Source organism: Homo sapiens, chromosome 19 (assembly GCF_000001405.40).
Source record: "Homo sapiens chromosome 19, GRCh38.p14 Primary Assembly".
NCBI lineage: Eukaryota > Metazoa > Chordata > Mammalia > Primates > Hominidae > Homo > Homo sapiens.
The window spans coordinates 44,938,401-44,960,908 of record NC_000019.10 but is presented as its reverse complement, the minus strand read 5'-3'; the positions used below and the strand labels follow the sequence as shown (position 1 = coordinate 44,960,908).

At 52.4% G+C, this 22,508-nt stretch overlaps 3 protein-coding genes and 1 long non-coding RNA gene across 6 annotated transcripts in view, besides 2 other annotated features; all 4 read right to left on the bottom strand.

The window, feature by feature from the left end:
- CLPTM1 (CLPTM1 regulator of GABA type A receptor forward trafficking) overlaps positions 1–6,324 on the bottom strand; it is a 38,757-nt gene extending 32,433 nt beyond the window's left edge. Inside the window, exon 1 of one of the 3 annotated variants that reach the window (NM_001282176.2) lies at positions 6,208–6,324. Coding sequence is in view for 2 of the 3 variants with exons in the window: in NM_001294.4 (NP_001285.1) it covers positions 5,442–5,513 (72 nt within the window). In the remaining variant the exon portion in view is untranslated. Of the gene's footprint in view, positions 1–5,441; positions 5,530–5,823; positions 5,917–6,207 lie in introns of those variants that run through there. The other 2 variants (NM_001282175.2, NM_001294.4) reach the window with 2 other exon arrangements.
- Positions 930–1,130: a silencer, noted in NCBI's record as "peak3513 fragment used in MPRA reporter construct". NCBI's record gives its function as "represses an SCP1 promoter by STARR-seq MPRAs in K562 erythroleukemia cells {active_cell/tissue: K562}" and the evidence as "EXISTENCE:reporter gene assay evidence [ECO:0000049][PMID:32103011]".
- Positions 5,277–5,606: a silencer, noted in NCBI's record as "silent region_10745". NCBI's record gives its function as "represses an Ori minimal core promoter by ATAC-STARR-seq in GM12878 lymphoblastoid cells {active_cell/tissue: GM12878}" and the evidence as "EXISTENCE:reporter gene assay evidence [ECO:0000049][PMID:35858748]".
- Positions 11,344–14,858, bottom strand: APOC2 (apolipoprotein C2). Its single transcript, NM_000483.5, has 4 exons — positions 14,834–14,858; positions 12,376–12,443; positions 12,049–12,208; positions 11,344–11,750 (listed from the first exon to the last, which is right to left on the bottom strand). Exons 2-4 carry the CDS (start codon positions 12,428–12,430, stop codon positions 11,660–11,662), a joined length of 306 nt encoding a protein of 101 aa, NP_000474.2. The 5' UTR covers positions 12,431–12,443; positions 14,834–14,858; the 3' UTR covers positions 11,344–11,659.
- On the bottom strand, positions 11,344–18,671 carry APOC4-APOC2 (APOC4-APOC2 readthrough (NMD candidate)). Its single transcript, NR_037932.1, has 6 exons — positions 18,556–18,671; positions 16,019–16,160; positions 14,834–15,769; positions 12,376–12,443; positions 12,049–12,208; positions 11,344–11,750 (listed from the first exon to the last, which is right to left on the bottom strand). It is a non-coding gene; the product is annotated as an APOC4-APOC2 readthrough (NMD candidate) (long non-coding RNA).
- APOC4 (apolipoprotein C4) lies at positions 15,413–18,672 on the bottom strand. The gene is made up of 3 exons (NM_001646.3): positions 18,556–18,672; positions 16,019–16,160; positions 15,413–15,769 (listed from the first exon to the last, which is right to left on the bottom strand). The coding sequence occupies exons 1-3, from the start codon at positions 18,629–18,631 to the stop codon at positions 15,604–15,606; spliced, it is 384 nt and encodes a 127-aa protein (NP_001637.1). The 5' UTR covers positions 18,632–18,672; the 3' UTR covers positions 15,413–15,603.

Genomic DNA, 22,508 nt, shown 5'->3' with positions numbered 1-22,508 from the left:
CTCCCAGCTGTCCCCTCAGCCATCAGCCTTCAAGAGGCAGGACCAGGGCTATCACAGTCACAGTTAGCTCAAGAGCACCAGTGGCACAGAGCAAGGCTGTGATAAACACCTGTGTGGCCACCGCTGCCTGAAGGACTCACCCCGGACGCTCAGGTCACCCAAACCCACTTCCCTCTGAGGCTCCAGTGTCTGGCCCTCTCCTCCACAGCCCCTAGTCCACTCCTCTGCAATGTTTTCTCCATTCACCTTACCCACCAGATAGCAAATGTCCCAGGAGCATGGTTAGAGGGGCTACATGTGTTAAATGTGTCACTTGTCACCTCCTGTCCCCTTCACCAGCAAGAGCTCTTTCCTGTAATCTCCCAAAGCACAGGACACCATTGGAGGGGCTCCAGGGTCAAACAGACCTCAGCTATAGTCCTGGTCCCACCGTTCTTGGCTGTGACACCTTGGGCACATCACTTCACCTCTCTGACCTGTGGACCAGGTTGTGAAAATACTGGAACATTTTAGACAGAAATCTGGGCCCTGCTTACCCAGAGCTGGGGATCTAGAAGGAAACACACTAGAACGGTAAACAGGATAATTAAAAATGGTACATGGAAAACAAGCAGGGGGAAGTGACAGCAACTGAGTTGGGAACAGGGATCCACTTTGGAGTGGGTGGTCAGAGAGGCCTCCCTGAGGAGCTCCCTTTGACGTCTGGGTCGTCTGGGTGAGACCCTTAGGCTGAGACAGAGAAAGCCACATTCTGATGAGGAGATCTATGGGGCGGGGGTCGGCTGGGGAAGGGAAATCAGACAGGCACAAGGCCCCCTCCTCAAGGCCAGCCTAGCTATTGGGAAATTTAGGGGTCCAAGTATGGGTTTCAATGGGTCTGAGCTGATTTGGGGTCAGGAAAGGACACTTGATGCCAGGTCAGGATTTGAAGCTGCATCTGACTGACTCCCAGGTCTCTTCGCTTACCCGTTAGTGATGGGCAATCTGGCTGGGAACCTTCCCACGGAAAGGCAAGTTAAAACCACAATGAGGTGTCACTTCACACCTATTAGGATGGCTATCAGCAGAAAGACAATCACAAGTGCTGGCAGGGATGTGGAAAAACAGGAACCCTCGTATGCTGCTAGGGGGGAAAGTAAAAGTACAGCTACTTCGGAAAATATGGCAGTTATTGAACAAGTCATATGTGCACCTACTACACAATCCAGCAAACCCATCCTGAATGGCTACCCAGGAGGCAGAAAACATGAAGCCAGACCAGGCGCAGTGGCTCACGCCTATAATCCCAGAACTTCAGGAGGCCAAGGCAGGAAGACTGCTTGAGCCCAGGAGTTCAAGACCAGCCTGGGCAACACAGCAAGACCTCATCTCTATAAAAATACAAAAATTAGCCAGGTGTGGTAGTGCATGCCTGTGGTCCCAGCTACTCAGGAGGCTGAGACGGGAGGATCAATTGAGCCTTGGAGAATGAGGCTACAGTGAACCAGGATCACACCACTGCACTCCAGCCTAGGCGACAGAGCATGACTCTGTCTCAAAAACAAACAGTGGCCAGGTGTGGTGGCTCATGCCTATAATCCTAGCACTTTGGGAGGCCAAGGCAGGAGGATCCATTGAGCCCAGGAGTTCGAGACCAGCCTGAGCAACACAGGGAGACCCTGTCTCTCTTACTTAGAAAAAAAAAAAAAGAAACAAAATACAGCCACAGAAAAGCCTGTACATGAATGTTCATAGCAGCATTATTGGCAACAGACAAAAACTAAAAACAATCCAAATATCCTTCAAGGACTGAAAGAATAAACTGTGTCATGTCTGCAGACTACCACTGAGCAGTGAAAAGGAACAACTGTGAGCACGTACTTTAGGATTTCCCCAAAGGCCAAATTTCCCTGATCCTAGGTTGTAAAAAATAAAATAAAAATGAACAACTGCAGATCTATGTAACAACATGAACCTCAAACCCATTATGCCCAATGAAAGAAGCTGGACACAAAAGACTGGATGTTGTTTAGATCCTTGTTTAAGACATTTTTAGAAAATTACAGAGATAGCACCTCTGTGGCTGCCTAGGATTGGGAGCAGCAGAGACTGTAAAAGGGAACTTTTTGAGGGGACAGAAGCTTTCTCAGACCAGACTGTGGTGATGGCTGCACCACACAACTGCATAAATGGACCAGGAGCCAATGGACTCTATCCTAAGAACAGGTGAACGTTATACCATCTAAATTATACCACAAGGCTGGACGTGGTGGCTCACGCCTGAAATCCCAGCACTTTGGGAGGCCGAGGTGGGCAGATCACCTGAGGTCAGGAGTTCAAGACCAGCCTGGCCAACCTGGTGAAACCCTGTCTCTACTAAAAATACAAAAATTAGCTGGGTGTGGTGGCAGGTGCTTGTAATCCCAGCTACTTGAGAGGCTGAGGTAGAAGAATTGCCTGAACCCAGGAGACGGAGGTTGCAGTGAGCCGAGATTGTGGTGAGAAAGCGAGACTCCGTCTCAGAAAAAAGAAAAAAAAAAAAAGAGTCACTCTTTTCAGCTCCTATTTCCCTCAGAGTAAAGGCCAAGTCCTCCCCATGGCCTCCAAAGCTTGGCATAATCTGCATCTGTCCCCAGCCACCCCTCTCCCCTCACCCGCTCCAGCCTCCTCGCCCTTCCTTCATCACACCAGGCACCTCCCACTTTAGGGCCTTCGCACTGGCTGCTCCTTTGCCTGAAAAGCTTTTCCCTCGTGTATCTTTGGGACTCCCTCTCTCACTTCCTTCAGGTCTTTGTTCAAGCGTCACCTCCTCAGAGAGGCCTTCTAGACTACCCTATTTAATTGCAACTCTTCTACCCACCCCTCACTTCCTATCCCCATCCCAGCTTTATTTCTGTCCATGGCACGCAGAGCCATCTGAACTGCTGTTTTTCTTATTTATCTTGTTCACTGTGTGTCCCTGTCTGTGCTTCCCCTATAAATTCAGCTCCAACTAGAACATAAGTGTAAGGGCCTTCAAGAGGGCAGCACCTATTTTATTCACAGCTGTATCTCCAGCATCAGCAAAGGCCTAGCATGGAGTAGACTCAATTCGCATTCGCTGAAGGAAGGAATGGCAAAGCTGTGGGTTCTGTGTCCGAGTTCCTGGCTACAGGAGCAGGCTAGCTAAAGCAGCAGACTGTGCAGAGGGTGTGCCTGCTGTGCACTAGGCCCTGGGCATGGGAGAAGGGTGGCAGTGGCTGTGGACACATCAGTGACTAAGACACAGTTCCTGCTCTCGGATCTGCACGTCCACGCACACACACAATCCCCAGCAACATCTGCTAAAGGGTCCAAGAAGTAGCTGAGACCACCAGGGCTAGGCAAGAGCAGGAGGAAGCTAGGTTTTGCGGCATGTCTTCACTGATTACCTGGATCCACCACGGCATCAGGGAATTCCACCTCAGCCCAGCCTCTGTTTCAAGATCCGCTCATTCCACAAACACTGAGCACCTCCTCTGTGCCTGGCGCTGAGCTGAGTGGTGCTAAGGAAGCAGTGGTGATCAAGGCAGTCCTGGCTCTGCCCTCCTGGGGTTCCCAGTCCCCAGACAGTGAAACCCAGTAGGGCAGGGCTGGGACAGCGGAGCCCAGACAGTCAAAGAGGGCTTTCTGCAGGAAGGGACATCTGAAATCTGTAGGACTAATACACATCAACTAGCTAAAGAGGGGAGAGACCTGTGCATAGACTATGAGGAAAGAGACTGAGAGGCAATAAAAGAGGTTTAGAAATAAAATAGGTTCAGAGCAGCGGATCCCCTTTAGCGCAGTTGTTCTCACGCAGGGATGGCTTTGCCCCCCTGCTCTTGGAACATTTGGCAATGTCTGGAGACATATATGGTTGTCACAACTGGGGAGGGGCGTGGATCCTACTGACATCTAGTGCGTAGAGGCCACGGATGCTGCTAAACATCCTAAAATGCACAGGGCAGCCCCCCAAACAAAGCATTATCCAATTCAAAATGTTGATAGTGCCGAGCTCGAGAAATCCTAGTCTAGTCTGAAGAAAAGTGTCGGATCGTGCAAGACTGTGATTTATTAAAGAATTTGTACTTTGTCCTAAAGGCAAAGGGGTAACTCTTGATTGTTTTTAAGCAGAGTTGGTACAAGAGAAGATCAGAGTGCCATCTGGAAGCTCAGGGCAATGAGAACAACCTGGGCCCTGGTCTCTCAAGCCACCATCAACCCAATAATCAACAGAAACCCAGAGGGGAAACGACCTCCTTTCAGCAAGACTGGGAAACCCTTGAAGACAGGAACTGAGCCTTCATTCCAGCACTAACTCAACAAACATTTCCTAAGCTGTCCCTGAAGCCAGGCCCTGGCTGAGAATGCTGAAAAGATTCAGAGCAGATACAGTGGGCTCTATCACACAAATTTCATCCATGTGTCCTACCCAAGTGATACCACTTGCTCTTTCTCTGGGCTCCCCCAGTCCCTGACACAGACTTTTGTCACCAACCTAATCATTCAGGATTACAACTGTTTACATGTCAGTCTCCTCTCTTCGTCCCCTGACAGCAGGGATATGGCTGGCCCTCCTGTCCAACCTCTGCATTTAACACGGGAGAGATAAAGGCCTAAAGAGGGAAAGGAACTTGCCCAAGGTCACACAGAGAGTCAGCTTCATTCTCCCCTCTCAACCCGCACTCCTTTCCCCTGAGCTGCCTCCCACATGTCAGTGACATCCCAGTGGGTGGGTCGACAGCACCTTCATGTCTCTCCATCTATTCCCCAAATGCCTGAACGGTAGCTGCCTGAAATGGTATGCTCTGCAGTGTGTTAAGACAGCAGTGGGGCAGAAGTCATCCGCACCAGGACTAATTAACCCATAGAACTATTTTACATTAAAACCACAACCATACCAGTCCCTGTGTCAGCAGTGTCTTGTAACTTCTACATAAAGTTACAAACCTAACCAGGATGACCTTCTAGAAGCGCCTTAGTCTCACTGTTCCTTGAATTCCCGTCTGTAAAATGGGTCTGTCGGCCGTGCCCTGCTAATACTGACTTCCCCACAGCTAGAAAACTCCCAATTAATCACTGCGCACACCTCAAACACTACAACGAGACCTGAACGCCAGACCACTCTAGGAACGGCCTCAGAGCATGGAATCGCGGAGTTGAGAACCCAGCGCGCCAAGGTACAAGCCTGCGCCCCTCCGAGCCACTGTCTCCCCGGATCGAGCAATGAGCCTGGTGGCCGCCCGGCTCGAGCGTGCAGGGGAACCGACCCGCAACAGGGCCCTGTTCCCGGCACCGTCCGGCCTCCCGGGCGGTCCGGCCCTGCCTGGGCCGGGTATTCAAGGTCCCTCTGGCCAAGGAGCCCCCAGTGCACGGGATTCCGTGACAAGAGGTAGGACACGCCCCGTGGGAGGCCCCCCGGCTGGGGAAGAACCCCCTCAGTCCCCTCTCGGCCTCCGTACCTGACCGGAGCTGCCTCCCCCGGCCGCCACCACGGCGCTGCGGGCCCCGTCCGCCTCCTGCGCCGCCGCCATCTTCCCGCTCCGGGTCCCCGCCCCCGCCGCCAGCCCCGCCCCGTCCCCGACTTCGCAGCGCAATCGCGCGAGATTTCACGCTTTCCTAGCCCCGCCGGGCCACCCTATCCGGCAAGAGTGCCGCAGCCACGCCTCTCAGGAAGGCCACTTCCGGCTATGGAAGGACCAACCTGGCCACCGTACTCGTCTTTCTCCCAGCCCGTTTGTTTCCACCTAATAAAAACACTGTATGCTCCGAACTCCAGGACTTTCTCGGCCAGCATGTGCCTCCCGCAAGTTCTGTCCCTTCCGTCCCTTCACATTAACCCGCCTTTTCGGTTATATGAGCCTTTCGGGACATCCTGTCCGCTTCTCCCTGCCGATTCTTCGCGTCCTTTTCGTTCCATGTTTCTTGAGCTTTACCGGCCACTGTACGGCTTCGAACCACGCCCCTCTTTCGTCAGAGGAACCTTTCTGGCCACCGTATTCTGATTCGAAGAACTAGCCTTTTGCCCAGCACCCTTGTCTTCTGACCCCTCTTCCTAAGACAACTCTTTCGTTCAAGTCTCCTGAGCTCATATCCTTTCTGTGTTTTTAGAGTTCCAATTCCAGGGGTCTTACGGCCAACAAACCTCCGATGAGACCCTATGATACACCCCCAAGCCTTCGGACTGCCCTGCCTAGCACGCATGCGCGTTCCCTCAGTGGTCCAAACCTCGCATCCGTGGGCTAGGCTTCACGGGCTCTGAGAATTCCACAATTTTTCATTAGCTGTGTGTCTTCGTACAGCTCTAAACCCGGCCATCTGCTGAGAGACCCTTAGTTTGGAGAGGGTGTTACGGAGGCCCAGAGAGGACAAGACTCTCAGAGGCTGTTAACTGTTCACCCGTGAAATTGGGTGGATGTCTGGCCAGGGTTCTAACCCTTGTGGTGCTACTGACTGGATAAGATATCCTGGACAAGTGACGTCTCTCTCTCTCTTTTTTTTTCTTTTTTAGACGGAGCCTCACTCTCCCCCAGGCTGGAGTGCAATGGCGCGATCTCGGCTCACTGCAACCTCGGCTCACTGCATCCTCGGCCTCCCGAGTAGCTGGGATTACAGGAGCACGCCACCACTCCTGGCTAATTTTTTTTTTTTTTTTGAGACGGAGTCTCGCTCTGTCACCCAGGCTGGAGTGCAGTGGCGCGATCTCGGCTCACTGCAACCTCTGCCTCCCGGATTCAAGCAATTCTCCTGCGTCAGCCTCCCATTTTTTTTTTTTTTTTGTAAGTAGAGACGGAGTTTCACCGTGTTGGCCAGGCTGGTGACAAGTGACATCTATGTTTGAGCCTCAGTTTCTCCCCTTTTATAAACCAGGGATATAATCGTACTCGTTCTTCGTCTTCCCGTTTTGCCCCGCTGTGTTATTGGGAAGACGTAGTTAGATGGCGAATGGAAAACATCAGGCCCTGGGCCTCATGCTTAAGTGGTCAATATTTGGAGCGCTGTGATTATGAACCTTATATATTACCTGGAAAAAGAGTAAGCTTTGCATTGGGATATTCTGAATATATAATTATCATTTTATTATCGGTTTCCTCCACTTTCCTCTAGGTCTCAGCCCTGTAACAGTAGCTCTCGCTCTAGGAAACTCTCTCTGAGCCCTTTTCCTATCCTCCCTTGCCCCCTCAGCTCCTCCACCCCATCCCTGCTCACTTTGTGTCATCACTGTCAGGGATGGGTGTGTCTCCCCAACTGGGCAGGCTGACCTGGGACTGTTGTGGTCACTGCTGTATCTCCAGCACTGCCCTGGGGATGATTGCCCTGGGGATGAGGCTCTCTAGGTGCAGAAGGTGAGTGACTTACCTCTCTGAGGGCTAACACAGGACAAGAAGGAACCTTAGAAAACTTCGCTCCTCAGCCAGGCGCGGTGGCTCACGCCTGTAATCCCAGCACTTTGGGAGGCCGAGGCAGGCGGATCACCTGAGGTCGGGAGTTCAAGACCAGCCTGGCCAACATTGTGAAACCCCGTCTCTACTAAAAATACAAAAATTAGCCGGGCATGGTGGCGGACGTCTGTAACTCCAGCTACTCGGGAGGCTGAGGCAGGAGAATTGCTTGAACCCGGGAGGCAGAGGTTGCAGTGAGCCAAGATCATGCCACTGAATTCCGGCCTGGGCAACAGAGCAAGACTCCACCTCCAAAAAAGAAGAAAGAAAAGAAAAAGAAAACTCAGTGCCTCATCCTCACTGTTACAGACAATAATGGTGTTAATAACGATTCTTTGAATGTGTAGGCCCAGTCTTTTAAGTCCAGGGATGAAGTGAATAGACTAAGACAGGGATTGAGGAGAGACTTTGTGGGGTCTGAAGCTTATGTGTTTTGTGGGCCTCTTTTTTTTTTTTTTTTTGAGATGGAGTCTTGCTCTGTCACCCAGGCTGGAGTGCAGTGGCATGATCTCAGCTCAATGCAAGCTCCGCCTCCTGGGTTCACACCATTCTCCTGTCTCAGCCTCCGGAGTAGCTGGGACTACAGGCGCCCACCACCACGCCCAGCTAATTTTTTGTATTTTTAGTAGAGACGGGGTTTCACCGTGTTAGCCAGGATGGTCTTGATCTCCTGACCTCGTGATCCGCCTGCCTCTGTCTCCCAAAGTGCTGGGAGTACAGGCATGAGCCACCGCGCCTGGCCTGGCCTCTTTTAAAAAGTACAAAATTGGCTGGGTGTGGTGGCTCACACTGTAATCCCAGCACTTTGGGAGGCAGAGGCTGGTGGATCACCTGAGGTCGGGAGTTCGAGACCAGCCTGACCAAAATGGAGAAACCCCATCTCTACTAAAAGTACAAAATTAGCTGGGCATGGTGGTACATGCCTGTAATCCCAGCTACTTGGGAGGCCAAGGCAGGAGAATCGCTTGAACCTGGGAAGCGGAGGTTGTGGTGAGCCGAGATCATGCCATCGCACTCCAGCCTGGGCAAGAAAAGGGAGACTCTGTCTTGAAAAAAAAAAAGTACAAAATGACTTGTACAAATTTAGGTAGAGGACCATGGAAAGCCCAGGCAAGTGAGGGGCTTTGAAACTTTCTCCAGCCTCACTGCAACCCCAACTGCGCTCTCAGCTATAAATACAAACTGCTGCAATCTGCTCTCCAAGTCTCATACACTGCAAGGGCCAATGTGTTGGAGCATGATGAGGTCTAAGCTTCTCATGAGAAGTGTGACCTTGGACAGGGCTCCTGTGGAGGCAGGTTCCCTGCAGAGCCTTCCTATGCTCTGTGGAGTGACCAAATAAATTCTGCCATTCCGTCCAGGCTTCGTGGCTCATGCCTGTAATCCTAGCACTCTGGGAGGCTGAGGCAGAAGGATCGCTTGAGCCTAGGAGTTTAAGACCAGCCTTGGTGACATAGCGAGATCCTAGCTCTACTAAAAATTAACAAAATTAGGTGGTGTGGTGGCATCCACCTGTGGTCCAGCTACTCTGAGGCTGAGGTGGGAGGGATGCCGGAGCCCAGGAGTTCGTTCGAGGTTGCAATTAGCTGTGATCACATTACTGCACTCCAGCCTGGGTGACAGAGTGAGACCCTGTCTCTAAAGAAATTAAAAATCATAATAAGTAAAAAATTCTGCCATTCCTGCTGTATGTAAGTCACAGGACAGACCCACTCTTCTCTCCACTAGGGGGCGCAAAATACTGATCAAGGGCTGTGATTTCAGGTTCTAAGGGAGAAAGGGGGCTGGGGATCCAACCTTCTAGGTCCTGAGGAGAAGGGACTGGGGGGTCCCAGACTCCTGAGTTCTAGGGGAAGAAGAATCTAGGGGCCTGGACTCTGGGGGCCCTGAGGGGAATGGGGTTCTGAGAAAGAAAGGAGGAGTCTGAGGCCAGCACCAGGATTGGTTGGAAGCCGAACTGGTCCGGGCAGTGCTTTGGCTTGGCTTGAGTCCGTGGGAACCAAGTGGACACAGCAGGGATTGTTACTCCAGGGTCTTCCCCTCCCCACCACCCCCTGCACTTGGCAGCCTCTGTTCTTCCCAGGCCCCGGGGACTCGGGGGCATTGCCCACAGTCCCTCTCCAGGGCCCCTGTTTTTTACTGGACTCAGCTGCCCAGCCTCAGGACCTGGGAAAACTGCCCCAAGGGTGTTGAAAGCCTGGCAGGAGGTTAATGCCAAGCAGATTAGGAGAAATACAAGCAGTGGATCCCCAGAGACCAATAGCCCCACCCATGGGACTTGGGGAGCAGTACCACCCTGGACTCCCTCAGGATACAGGAATCTTGGCCCCCAGCCCCCTTCATTCATGGTCCCAGCACTGGCCTCCTTCAGACCATGGAGCCTCTGCTTATTTGCACCTTCTGCCTTCTGTGCTTTTTGCTTGCAATTTTTTTTTAATAAGTTTTTCTTTTTTTTTTTTAGAGACGGAGTCTCACTCTGCTGCCCAGGCTGGAGTGCAGTGGCACTATCTCCGCCTCCAGGGTACAAGCAATTCTCCTGCCTCAGCCTCCAGGTAACTGGGATTACAGGCGCGGGCCACCCCTAGCTAATTTTTGTGTTTTTATTAGAGACAAGGTTTCACCATGTTGGCCAGGCTGGTCTTGAACTCCTGACCTCAGATGATCTGCCCACCTCAGCCAACCAAAGTGCTGGGATTACAGGCGTGAGCCACCACGCCGGCCCTAGAGGTTTGTCTTCTTGGGTCCCAGCCAAGAAGTACTGACTTGGGCACCATTCTCCCTCTGCCACGGGACCATTATACACTGATTGCAATGGCACGTTTAAAGTGTCAGCCCAGGCCTGGTGCGGTGGTTCACACCCGTAATCCCAACACTTTGGAAGGGCAAGGTGGGCAGATCGCTTGAGCCCAGGAATTGGAGACTAGCCTAGGCAACTTGACGAAACCCCGTCTCTACTAAAAATACAAAAAATTAGCCAGGTGTGGCAGTGGGCATCCCTAGTCCCAACTACTTGGGAGGCTGAGATGGGAGGATCTCTTGAGCCCAAAAGGTCAAGGCTACAGTAAGCCAAGATCTCACCACTGCACTTCAGCCTGGGCGACAGAGCAAGACCTTATCTCAAAACAAAATAAATAAAATAAAAAATGTGTCAGTCCAGCAACTGTAAGGCAGGAAAATAGGGAGGCAGGGAACATAAGGCCAATTCACTTCAGCTATAACAGGAAACATCCTCTCCGGTAGGCCATAAATGACTTTGTAACTTTTCTTCATCCTCTCCATTTACATAGGGTGTACCAGAAGTAACCAGTGGAAGGGGAATCCTCTAGGGGGAATTTAAACTCCCAAAAATTCTGTAACAGGGCTTTTGAACCCATATGCTTGGGCCCGCTCCCACACTGTTTAGTGTATGTTCGTTTTCAATAAATCCCTTCATTCCTTCCTTGCTTTGTTTGTGCGTTTTGTCCAGTTCTTTGTTCAGGACGCCAAAAACCTGGACACCATTCACCGTTAACAACTGGAGACTGTCAGAGGCCACTGTGGACTAGCTGTGTCTATGATTTGTTATTTTACAAATGAGAAGGCTGGATTTTGGCATGGCGCGGTGGCTCATGCCTGTCACCCCAGTACTTTGGGAGGCTGAGGCGGGTGGATCACTTGAGGTCAGAAGTTTGAGACCAGCCTAGCCAACTGGCAAAACCCTACTAAAAATACAAACATTAGCCGTGCACAGTGGCACATGCCCATAATCCCAGCTACTCCAGAGGCTGAGGCACACAGAATCGCTGGAACCTGGGAGGCGGAGGGTGCAGTGAGCCGAGATTGCACCACTGCTGTCCAGCCTGGGTGACAGAGTGAAACCCTGTCTCAAAAAATAAAAAAATAAAAGAGAGAAAGCCGGACTTCAATAAAGATTAGTCTCTAATTGCTGTTACGATTATTTATTGTTACTATTCACTGCTTTATTCCCATGGACCCATGGGTTAGAGCTCCATACATAAAGTAGGTGCTCATTAAATGTTGGCTGGACTGAGTCAGCCCCTCCATCTTGGCCCTTGAGTCCTCAGAAAAGCAGTGCCATCCATGAGAAGCAACTTGAATTGTATTTTTTATTGAAAAGAATTCAGGCTAGAGTTGGGAGGAGGATGCAAGAGCTACTGGGAAGGGGGAGCTCAGTCTGAACCTGGGGGATCAGGGGAGTAGGGGACTCTCCCCTTGTCCACTGATGGGGGGTCTGGCTGTTACTCCTCTCCCTTCAGCACAGAAAGAACTTGGTCAGTAAAAATGCCTGTGTAAGTGCTCATGGCTGCTGTGCTTTTGCTGTACAAGTCCCTGGGGAGAAAGCACAGATGGTTAGAGGGAGGAGGGGCTGGGGGCCTGGACTCCTGGGTCTGAGGGAGGAGGGTCTGGGGACCTGGACTCCTGGGTCTGAGGGAGGAGGGGCTGGGGGCCTGGACTCCTGGGTCTGAGGGAGGACGGGCTGGGGGCCTGGACTCCTGGGTCTGAGGGAGGAGGGGCTGAGGCCTGGACTCCTGGGTCTGAGGGAGGAGGGGCTGGGGCCTGAACTTCTGGGTCCTGGATGCAGTCGGTGGTATGGGCCAGACCCCATTTCTCCAGGGGCAGGTGCTACCTGAGTTTCTCATCTACAGCGGGCAGGTATGTCTTCTCGTACAGGTTCTGGGCGGCTGTCTTTGCTGACTCCCAGTAACTGGAGAGAGATTCCTTCACCTGGGTGAGGAAGGTCGGGCTAGGCATCTCATCTTGCTGGGGCTGTTGGGTCCCCTGGACCTCTGCAGGGGGAGAGTGTGTCAGGAGAGCCCGTGGGGCTGCAGCAGGGGGAAAGGAGGAAGGAAGAAGAGGAGAGGGCAGAGGCAGAGGTAAGAAGGGCCTGGGCTGGGAAGATGCTTGGAGCTCATTCCCCTCCCCAAGGCTTCCCTCCCCGGAAGCCCACACTCACCAAATCCCAATACCAGGAGGACAAGAAACAGAGCTGGGAGGAGTCGTGTGCCCATAGTGTCCAGAGACCTGGAACATTGAGGGGGTGTCATGTGGCAGGCTGACTGGAGGCGGCTGTTCCTGTGGTCACGCCCCACTCTGGTGGGGGGGACTGAGATCCTGCTCTGTGTGAGCTCGGTGTCCCAGTCAAGTTTCCCATGCATGGACTTGGACACAGCCCCCTTCTTGGGCCTCACTTTCCAACATTCTGTGATTCTACTCCTGATTTTAACATTTTAATTATTATTTTTTTCTTTTTTGAGATGGAATCTCACTCTGTTGCCCAGGCTGGAGTGCAGTGGTGCAATCTTGGCTCACTGCAACCCCCACCTCCCAGGTTCAAGCAATTCTCCTGCCTCAGCCTCCCCAGTAGCTGGGATTACAGGCACCCGCCACCACCCGGCTGATTTTTGTTTTCGTATTTTTTGAGATGGAGTCTCGCTCTGTCACCCAGGCTGGAGTGCAGTGGCGTGTTCTCGGCTCACTGCAACCTCTGCCTCCAGGGTTCTAGCAATTCTTCTGCCTCAGCCTCCCAAGGAGCTGGAATCACAAGCACCTGCCACCATGCCCGGCTAATATTTTGTATTTTTAGTAGAGATGGGGTTTCACCATGCTGGCCAGGCTGGTCTCGAACTTCTGACCTCGTGATCCGCCCACCTTGGCCTCCCAAAGTGCTAGGATTACAGGCTTGAGCCACTGTGCCCCACCTGATTTTTGTATTTTTAGTAGAGATGGGGTTTCACCATGTTGGCCAGGCTGGTCTTGAACTCCTAACCTCAAGTGATTTGCCTGCCTTGGCCTCCCAAAGTGCTGGAATTACAGGCATGAGCCACCATGCCCAGCTGCTAATTTTTATTCTTTTGTAGAGATGGGAGACTTGTTTTGTTGCCCAGGCTGGTCTGGAACTCCTGGGCTCAAGCGATCCTCCCATCTCGGCCTCCCCAGGGTGCTGGGAGTACAGGTGTGAGCCACTGAGCCCAGCCTAGAAGGCTTTCTTGAGCACCTAAACAGTTCTGGGCCCAGCAGGGAACACAGCAAAGCCTCTGCCCTTTGCTAAGGCTGAGTCAGTGCAGGGAGGTGCTCTGCAGACACCATTAAGGACCTACAGTAGATCAAATGTGTTACCTTAGGGCTCTGCCCTAAGTCAGACCTCATGTCCCTGCATCTCCTCACTGAGTTCTCACCTGCTCTATGAGAGAGGCACTTTTGGTGACGAAGAACATGCACAGGGCACAATATCATCATCCACACGTAGGAGATGAGGAAGTACGGCAGAAAGAGGGTGAGATCTGATCCCCGGAGAAAGAACACAAGCAAATGGTCTACAATTCTTTTTTTTTTTCCAAGACAAGGTCTTGTTCTCTCGCCCAGGCTGGAGTGCGATGGCGCAATTTTGGCTCACCGCAACCTCTGTCTTCCGGGTTCGAGCGATTCTCCTGCCTCAGCCTCCTGAGTAACTGGAAATACAAGCATGCACCACCATGCCTGTCTAATTTTTGTATTTTTAGTAGAGACGGGGTTTCACCATGTTGGCCAGGCTGGTCTCCAACTCCTGACATCAAGTGATCCGTTTGCCTTGGCCTCCCAAAGCGTTTGGATTACAAGTGTAAGCCACCACGCCCAGCCTACAGTTCTTTTTTAGTTTTTTAAATTTTTTCATTCTTTTTTTCCGCCAAGACTGAGTCTTGCTCTGTCACCCAGGCTAGAGTACAGTGGCACGATCTGGGCTCACTGCAACCTCCGCTTCCTGGGTTCAAGCAATTCTCCTGTCTCAGCCTCTGGAATAGCTGGGATTACAGGCATATGCTACCACACCCGGCCAATTTTTGTATTTTTAGTATAGATGCGGTTTCACCATGCTGGTAAGGCTGGTGTCGAACTCCTGACCTCAAGTGATCCACCCGCCTCGGCCTCCCAGAGTGCTGGGATTACAGGCATGAGCCATTGTACCTATCCCTTTTTCTTTCTCTTTTTTAGAAATGGGGTTTCTCTGTCACCCAGGCTGGAACACGGTGGCAAGATCACAGCTCACTGCATCCTCAAACTCCTGGGCTCAAGGGATCCTCCCCACCTCAGCCACCCTAACTCTAAGCAGAAGCTCAAATAGTCTACAGTTCTAAATTCTGTGATTTGTGGAGTGTGGTGGTGCACCTGTAGTCCCAGCTACTGGGGAGGCTGAGGCAGGAGGATTGCTTGAGCCCAGGAGTTTGAGTCTAGCCTGGGCTACATAGCGAGACTCCATCTCCCTCTCTCTCTCTCTCACACACACACACACACACACACACACACACACACACACACACAGTCATGGTTCCAACACGGGCTTCTAATATTGTGCCTCTTAAAATTCCTGCTTTATCGATCTTTGCCCTCTCCCTGCTGACGCCCCCCTGTCCCCGCACCCTGAGTCCCTTTCTTACCAGACTCTGGCAGGCTGTCCTCACCAGCTCCGGACGGGCACAGAGAGGATTTATAGTGGTTGAGACCCACTTCCGCTCCACAGCCACAACCCCCATCCTTTGTCTAGGCCAAAGTCCTGGCCAACAGAACTGCGGAGGGGGTGGGTGGGGACAGAAAGGGCAATGACGTCCCCCAAGGTCACGTCACAGGGAACCTTCTCTCAAGTGACAGGGAACCCTCACTCTGAGAATTCGCCTCCGACAGAGGCTGGGTTGGGGGCTGTGGAGGGGTTGGAGGTGCTGGGTGCCCACTGGGAATGGAGTCAGAGCTTGTAGGAGACAAGGGCGAAGCTCTCAGTGAGGGCCATCATGGGGACCTGCTGACTCCACCCACGCTCCTGCCCTCACCCTCCTGAAACTGACACGCCTTGAAGTCCCCCATTCTCCGCAAGCCCACAATAGGGTGTTATTCCTTGATACCCTTCCCGACCTCCCTACTCTTCCTTCCCCATCAGGTGTCACCTCTTCTACTCATTGATTCCTGGGAGGCAGTGGGGTGGGTTTTTTTCTGGCCACACTGGGGAAGGATCCAGACAGGGACACAGGTGAGACTTTATTTATTGGAGAAGTATGAACTTTTTTTTTTCTTTTTGTTTTACCCCCAAGAGATCTCGCTGTGTTGCCCAGGCTGGTCTCGAACTCCTGGGCTCAAGCCATCATCCTACCTCAGCCTCCTGAGTAGCTGGGACTACAGGCACCCGCCACAACCACACCTGGCTTTTATGAACATTTTAACCCTGGTCCTTGTCCCCACAGACAAGCCTGGGGCACAGGCTGTGGGTCTTCTTCAAGAGGCTGTCTTTGGATTCGAGGAACCAGGCCTTGGTGAGCGGACCCAGGTCCCTCAGGTGGTCGTCATAGTAGGTCTGCATGAAGCCCCGGAAGGTGCTCGGGCTCCTACAGGAGAGAGGACATCACAGTGGAGGCCCCAGCTCTCCCCAGGTGTTCTCTGCCCCATTTATCCGCTCCTCTCTGTGACCTAGGAGTTCCTGCTCTCAGCTCTAACCCTCCACTCCTCCCAGACCTAGGGGTCACAGCCCCACTCCCACCCTTTCCTCCTCCCTGAGACTCAGGGGTCCAGGCCCCAGCCCCTCCTCCCTCAGACCCAGGAGTCCCCTCCCACCACCCAGCCCAGCACACCCTCACCAGAACCATTGCCACCCGTCTCTGGTCCTGTTCACCACTGTCTCCAGCAGCTCCTTCATCCTGCCCCTCACCAGGCTCCAGCGACTCATCTTTAGCTTTGGTGGGGGGCTCAGGGTTCCTTCCTGGGCCTCTGGCTGGCATGCTAGGTGGAACCAGAGGGCAACTTGGGTAGGCTGGGACCCTAGAATCCCCTTCTCCCTTTCCCTCCATGCTCATCCTGTGTCGCTCCCGGTGGCCCAGGGGCAGCCCCCTGCCAGTCCTCTTGCCTCCTGCCTTTACCCTTATGTGTCCCCTGACCGCTAACCCCTCTTTAACCATCAGCCATCTCTTTTTTTTTTTCTTTTTTCTTTTTTTTTATGAGACAGAGTCAGTCTCTTGCTCTGTTGCCCAGGGTGGAGTGCAGTGTCATGATCTCGTCTCATTGCAACCTCCACCTCCTGGATTCAGGCAATTTTCCTGCCTCAGCCTCCCGAGTAGCAGGGATTACAGGCATCTGCCATCATGCCCGGCTAATTTTTGTATTTTTAGAAGAGATGGGGTTTTGCCATGTTGGGGCCTCGAACTCCTGACCTCAAGTGATCCACCCACCTCGGGCTCCCAAAATGCTGGGATTACAGATGTGAGCCACCCCGTCCGGCTGGGCCATCTCTTCACCTTGTGTCAGTAGTCCCTCCTGTCACCCTGTCTGCCTGTGGTTCCCCTCTAATGGCCTCTCTAATTGCCATCCTCTGATGCCTCCCTTCACCACCTGATTTTGCTGCCCAGGAACTACCCCCTTCTCCCTTCGTTCTCCTGTGACCCCCACCCTGTCTGAGCTACCTCTGTGGACAGTGGAGGGAGAGCAGGAGGTGACTTTCTGCCCCCAGGGGCAGACATTGGCTTAGCCTTGCTGTCAGTTCCTCTTTCCGGGCCAGACCTTCTACCCACGCATCTGGACAAAGCCTCGCCTACAGAGACCAGCCGTCACGCGGGGGCCACATGTAGCTAGCTGTGTGCCTTGGCCGGTGACTTATCCTGTCTCCCCAGGACTGTTTCTCCTTTTGTAGAACGGGGTAATAATATCTACCTCAGGGTTATCGTGAGAATTAAGAGTTACTACATACGATGCACATGGAATGGTGCCTTGCACATTGTCTACATACGTGTTAAATTTTTTTTTTTTTTCAGACGGAGTCTCGCTCTGTCACCCAGGTTGGAATGCAGTGGCGCGATCTCGGCTCACTGCAACCTCTGCCTCCCGGGTTCAAGTGATTCTCCGGCCTCAGCCTCCCGAGTAGCTGGGACTACAGGCGCATGCCACCATGCATGGCTAATTTTTTGTATTTTTAGTAGAGATGGGTTTTTACCCATCTGTTAGCCAGGATGATCTCAAATCTCCTGACCTTGCGATCCACCCGCCTCGGCCTCCGAAAGTGCTGGGATTACAGGCATGAGCCACCGTGCCTGGCCCTGTATTAAAAATTTAAATTTCTACTGGATAATGCTGATCTAGAATATGATCCCATTTTAACATAAAGTACATGGCCGGGCGTGGTGGCTCATGCCTGTAATCCCAGCACTTTGGGAGGCCAAGGCGGGCGGATCACCTGAGGTCAGGATTTCAAGACCAGCCTGGGCAACATGGCAAAACCCTGTCTCTACCAAAAATATAAAAAAATTAGCCAGGCATTGGCCAGGCGCAGTGGCTCACGCCTATAATCCTAGCACTTTGGAAGGCCGAGGCAGGCGGATCACGAGGTCAGGATATGGAGACCATCCTGGCTAACACGGCGAAACCCCGTCTCTAGTAAAAATACAAAAAATTAGCCAGGCGTGGTGGTGGGCTCCTGTAGTCCCAGCTACTCGGGAGGCTGAGGCAGGAGAATGGCGTGAACCCGGGAGGCGGACGTTGCAGTGAGCCAAGATCACGCCACTGCACTCCAGCCTGGGTAACAGAGCGAGACTCCGTCTCAAAAAAAAAAAATTAGCCAGGCATGGTGGCGTGTGTCTGTAGTCCCAAATACTCTGAAGACTGAGGCAGGAGAATCCCTTGAAACGGGTAGGCGGATGATGCAGTGAGCCAAGATCGCACCACTGCTACCACTGCACTCCAGCCTGGGTGACAGAGTGAGACTCCGTCTCAAAAAAAAAAAAAAAAATGCATATGCAAAACACAGACGTACACACCAGCACACACTCACCCCCTCACACATGTCCACACACTCAAATATTTTGCACACACATACCCCACAGAGAGACAGGTGCACACAAATACACATATGCACACAGACATGCACTTTTTTACCACGACTGCATACTCCCACTTCCACGCACGCACGTGCACACACACAGATGATCCCAGTTTGTACCAATGTGACATTCACACTTCACTCTCAGCCACCGACACACACACTCCCCGACACGCACATGCATACGCACGCCATGAAACGCACACACTCCGTACTCATGTCTCACGTGGCTACAGAGCCACAGGACACACAGCCACACTCACACCCACCAGGTGTGGGCCCCACATCCCTCCACCCACTTCTTCTCACCCCCAATGCAGGCCAGGACCAGCACGCAGAGGCACAGGGCAGGCAGGGCCTGGAGCCTGTTTCTGAGGAGGGACATTTCTGGGGGTTCCGTGCCTCTGTCCCTCTGTGCTCAACTCTGCGGGCCGGGGGAGGGGAGGCTGCACAGAGCAGGGCCCTCCCCCGGCCACCTCCCCGCTTGGCAGAGACTTCAGAGAGCAGGGCCCAGGTGACAGTGGCAATCAGAGGTCATGCCTCTGTGGGCCTCCCTCCTTCTCACCCTCCCACACAGTGCCCTGAGAGAAGACAGAGGCTCTTGAGCCTCCTGCACTGAGGCAGGTTCAAATCCTGTCTCCACCTCCCATGACAGCCTCATTTGCTGGCCTCAGTTTCCTCCTCCATAAAGTGGGAGGCACAGTACATATTTCAGTATATTACTTGAACAAATACAAAGAAAGGCGCAGTGGCTCACGCCTGTAATCCCAGCACTTTGGGAGGCCGAGGTGGGCAGATCATATGAGGCCAGGAGTTTGAGACCAACCTGGCCAACATGGTGAAAAACCCTGTCCCTACTAAAAATACAAAAATTAGCCAGAAGTAGTGATGCGTGCCTGTAATCCCAGCTACTTGGGAGGCTGAGGCAGGAGAATGGCTTGAACCCGGGAAGTGAAGGCTGCAGTGAGCCGCGATCACACCACTGCACTCCAGCCTGGGTGACAGAGCAAGACTCTGTCTTGAAACAAAACAAAACAAAAAATGAAGAAAGCTCTTACCGTGGAGACTGGCAATATAGGTGCTCAAAGATCATTGCTGTTGGCCAGGCGCGGTGGCTCATGCCTGTAACCCCAACACTTTGGGAGGCCGAGGCAGGCGGATCACGAGGTCAGGAGATTGAGACCATCTTGGCTAACACGGTGAAACCCCATCTCTACTAAAAATATGAAAAATTAGCCAGGCGTGGTGGCAGGCGCCTGTAGTCCTAGCTACTCGGGAGGCTGAGGCAGGAGAATGGCGTGAACCTGGGAGGTGGAGCTTGCATTGAGCCGAGATCGCGCCACTGCAGTCCAGCCTGGGCGAAAGAGCAAGACTCCGTCTCAGAAAAAAAAAAAAGATCATTGCTGTTATTATTATCTTGTGTCTAATTTCTCCTAGTCACTGGGCTGCAGGGCCAGGCTTGTGGTAGGGCCTCAATAGGGCCCAAGGGTTGATGAGAGGAAATAGCAACACAGTCTCATGTCTCCAGCCTCTGTTTCTTCCTAGGTGGGCTCGAGCCCGATCACTTCCAAGCATTCCTTGAGTTCTCAATTCCAACTCTTTCTCCTCTGGGTGACTCTGGCTTCAGATGGACCTGGGCTTCGAATCCCTCACTTCTTCACCGTGTGACCTGGGCAAATACGTTTTCTTTTCTGGGGCTCAGTTTGTTCAACTGTAACACGGGGTTGATAGGGAGCACCTGCCTCCCAGTGTCCTCATGCAGGACGGCTGAGGCCTATGCAGGAGAGCTGCAGGTGCACATAGTAGGAGGTCATCAACATCAGGCCCAGGGCCAGGGCGGTGGCTCCCACCTGTAATCCCAGCACTTTGGGAGGCCGAGGCAGGCGGCTCACTTGAGGTCAGGAGTTCAAGACCAGCCTGGCCAACGTAGTGAAACCCCGTCTCTACTAAAAATACAAAAATTAGCCGGGTGTGGTGGAGCGAGACCTTGTCTCAAAAACAATAACAACAACAAAAACCAACAAAAAACCCACATCAGGCTCGGTCCCAGTGCCAGAAATAGAGCATTTTTCTCCTGAAGGACCCAGCTGCACCCCAGGGCACATGGCTCAGGGGACTATGGACTGGATTCTTTTTTTTTTTTTTGAGACAGAGTCTGGCTCTGTCGCCCAGGCTGGAGTGCTGTGGCGCGATCTCGGCTCACTGCAAGCTCCGCCTCCCAGGTTCACGCCATTCTCCTGCCTCAGCCTCCCGAGTAGCTGGGACTACAGGCACCCGCCACCACGCCCAGCTAATTTTTTGTATTTTTAGTAGAGACGGGGTTTCACCGTGTTAGCCAGGATGGTCTCGATCTCCTGACCTCGTGATCCGCCCGCCTCGGCCTCCCAAAGTGCTGGGATTACAGGCTTGAGCCACTGCGCCTGGCCTGGACTGGATTCTTTTGTCTACGCTTGCCAGACGAAATAGAGGAGGCCCAATTACATTTGAATTTCAAATCAACAGTGCATGACGTTTTAGTATAAATATGTCCCATGAAATATTTCAGAATTATACCAAAAAGTTTTTTTTGCTATTAATCTGAAATTCAAATGTAACTGAGCATCCTGTATTTTTACATGGCAAATCTGCAAACGCAACCTTGGCCACAACCTGAACAACTGTGCAGGACTGTCTTGACCCAGATGTCTGCCTTGGCAGAATCCTGTCCATCCCAGAGGCCCCAGCGTGAGCACAGTAGGTGCGCAACAGATGTCCCCTGGAATTCCTCTGTAGCAATCATCAGCAGATTGAAAACACCCAGAGTTTCTGTTTGGGATGACGAAGACATCCTGCAAATAGTGGGGATGGTTGCACAACAGTGTGAATGTACTTAATGCCACTGAACTGTACACCTAAAAATGGCTGCAATGGTTAAGTTTTTTTTTTTTTTTTTTTTTTTTTGAGGCAGAGTCTCACTCCGTCACCCAGGATAGAGTGCAATGGTGTGATCTTGGCTCACTGCAACCTCTGCCTCCCGGGTTCCAGCGATTCTCCTGCTTCAGCCTCCCGCGTAGCTGGGATTACAGGTGTGCGGCAACCACACCCGGCTAATTTTTTGTATGTATGTATGTATTTGAGACATAGTTTCGCTCTTGTTGCCCAGGCTGGAGTGCAATGGTGCGATCTTGACTCACTGCAACCTCCGCCTCCCGGGTTCAAGCGATTCTCCGGCCTCAGCCTCCTTAGTAGCTGGAATTATAAGCGCCTGCCACCATGCCCAGCTAATTTTTTGTATTTTTAGTAGAGACGGGGTTTCACAATGTTGGCCAGGTTGGTCTTGAACTCCTGACCTCAGGTGATCCACCTGCCTTGGCCTCTCAAAGTGCTGGGATTACAGGCGTGAGCCACCATGGCTGGCTCATTTTTTTGTATTTTTAAAGAGACAGGTTTTCACCATGTTGGCCAGGGTGGTCTCAAACTCCTGACCTCTCAGGTGATCCATCCACCTCAGCCTCCCAAAGTGCTGGGATTGCAGGCATGAGCCACTGCGCCTGGCTGCCCAGCTAATATTTTTATTTTTTGTAGAAACACAGTTTTGCCAAGTTGCCCAGACTGGTCTTGAACTCCTGGGTTCAAGTAATCCTCCCACCTCAACCTCCCAGAGTGTTGAGATTACAGGCGTGAGCCACCACACCCGGCCATGTTGTTTATATTTTACCACAATTATAAAAAAACAAAAACAGCCAGGTACTGTGGCAGGGGCTTGTAGCCCCAGCTACTCAGAAAGCTGTGGTAGAAGGATTCCTTGAGCCCAGGAGTTTGAGAGTCCAGCCTGGGCAACATAGTAAGACCCCGTCTCTTAAAAAAAAAAAAAAAAAGCTGGGCACGGTGGCTCACGCCTGTAATCCCATCACTTTGGGAGGCCAAGGCGGGCGGATCACGAGGTCAGGAGTTCGAGACCAGCCTGACCAACATGGTGAAACCCCCGTCTCTACTAAAAATACCAAAAAAAAAAAAAAAGTTAGCTGGGCATCGTGGTGGGCACCTGTAATCTCAGCTACTCAGGAGGCTGAGGCAGGAGAATTGCTTGAACCTGGAAGGTGGAGGTTGCAGTGAGCCGAGATCGCGCCACTGCACTCCAGCCTGGGCGACAGTGCGAGACTCAGTCTCAAAAAAAAAAAAAAAAACAGGCCGGGCGCGGTGGCTCACGCCTGTAATCCCAGCACTTTGGGAGGCCGAGGCGGGCGGATCACGAGGTCAGGAGATCGAGACCATCCCGGCTA

What these genes read in the sequence shown, in the direction of transcription:
- APOC4 (NM_001646.3), bottom strand. Translation starts at nt 18,631, where the DNA reads ATGTCCCTCCTCAGAAACAGGCTCCAGGCCCTGCCTGCCCTGTGCCTC. An exon ending in GGTCCTGGCCTGCATTGGGG is followed by an intron (nt 16,161 to 18,555) that starts GTGAGAAGAAGT and finishes GGTTCCACCTAG; the next exon opens with CATGCCAGCCAGAGGCCCAG. An exon ending in GACGGGTGGCAATGGTTCTG is followed by an intron (nt 15,770 to 16,018) that starts GTGAGGGTGTGC and finishes TCTCTCCTGTAG; the next exon opens with GAGCCCGAGCACCTTCCGGG.
- APOC2 (NM_000483.5), bottom strand. Translation starts at nt 12,430, where the DNA reads ATGGGCACACGACTCCTCCCAGCTCTGTTTCTTGTCCTCCTGGTATTG. An exon ending in CCTCCTGGTATTGGGATTTG is followed by an intron (nt 12,209 to 12,375) that starts GTGAGTGTGGGC and finishes CTCCCCCTGCAG; the next exon opens with AGGTCCAGGGGACCCAACAG. An exon ending in GCTGTAGATGAGAAACTCAG is followed by an intron (nt 11,751 to 12,048) that starts GTAGCACCTGCC and finishes CTTTCTCCCCAG; the next exon opens with GGACTTGTACAGCAAAAGCA.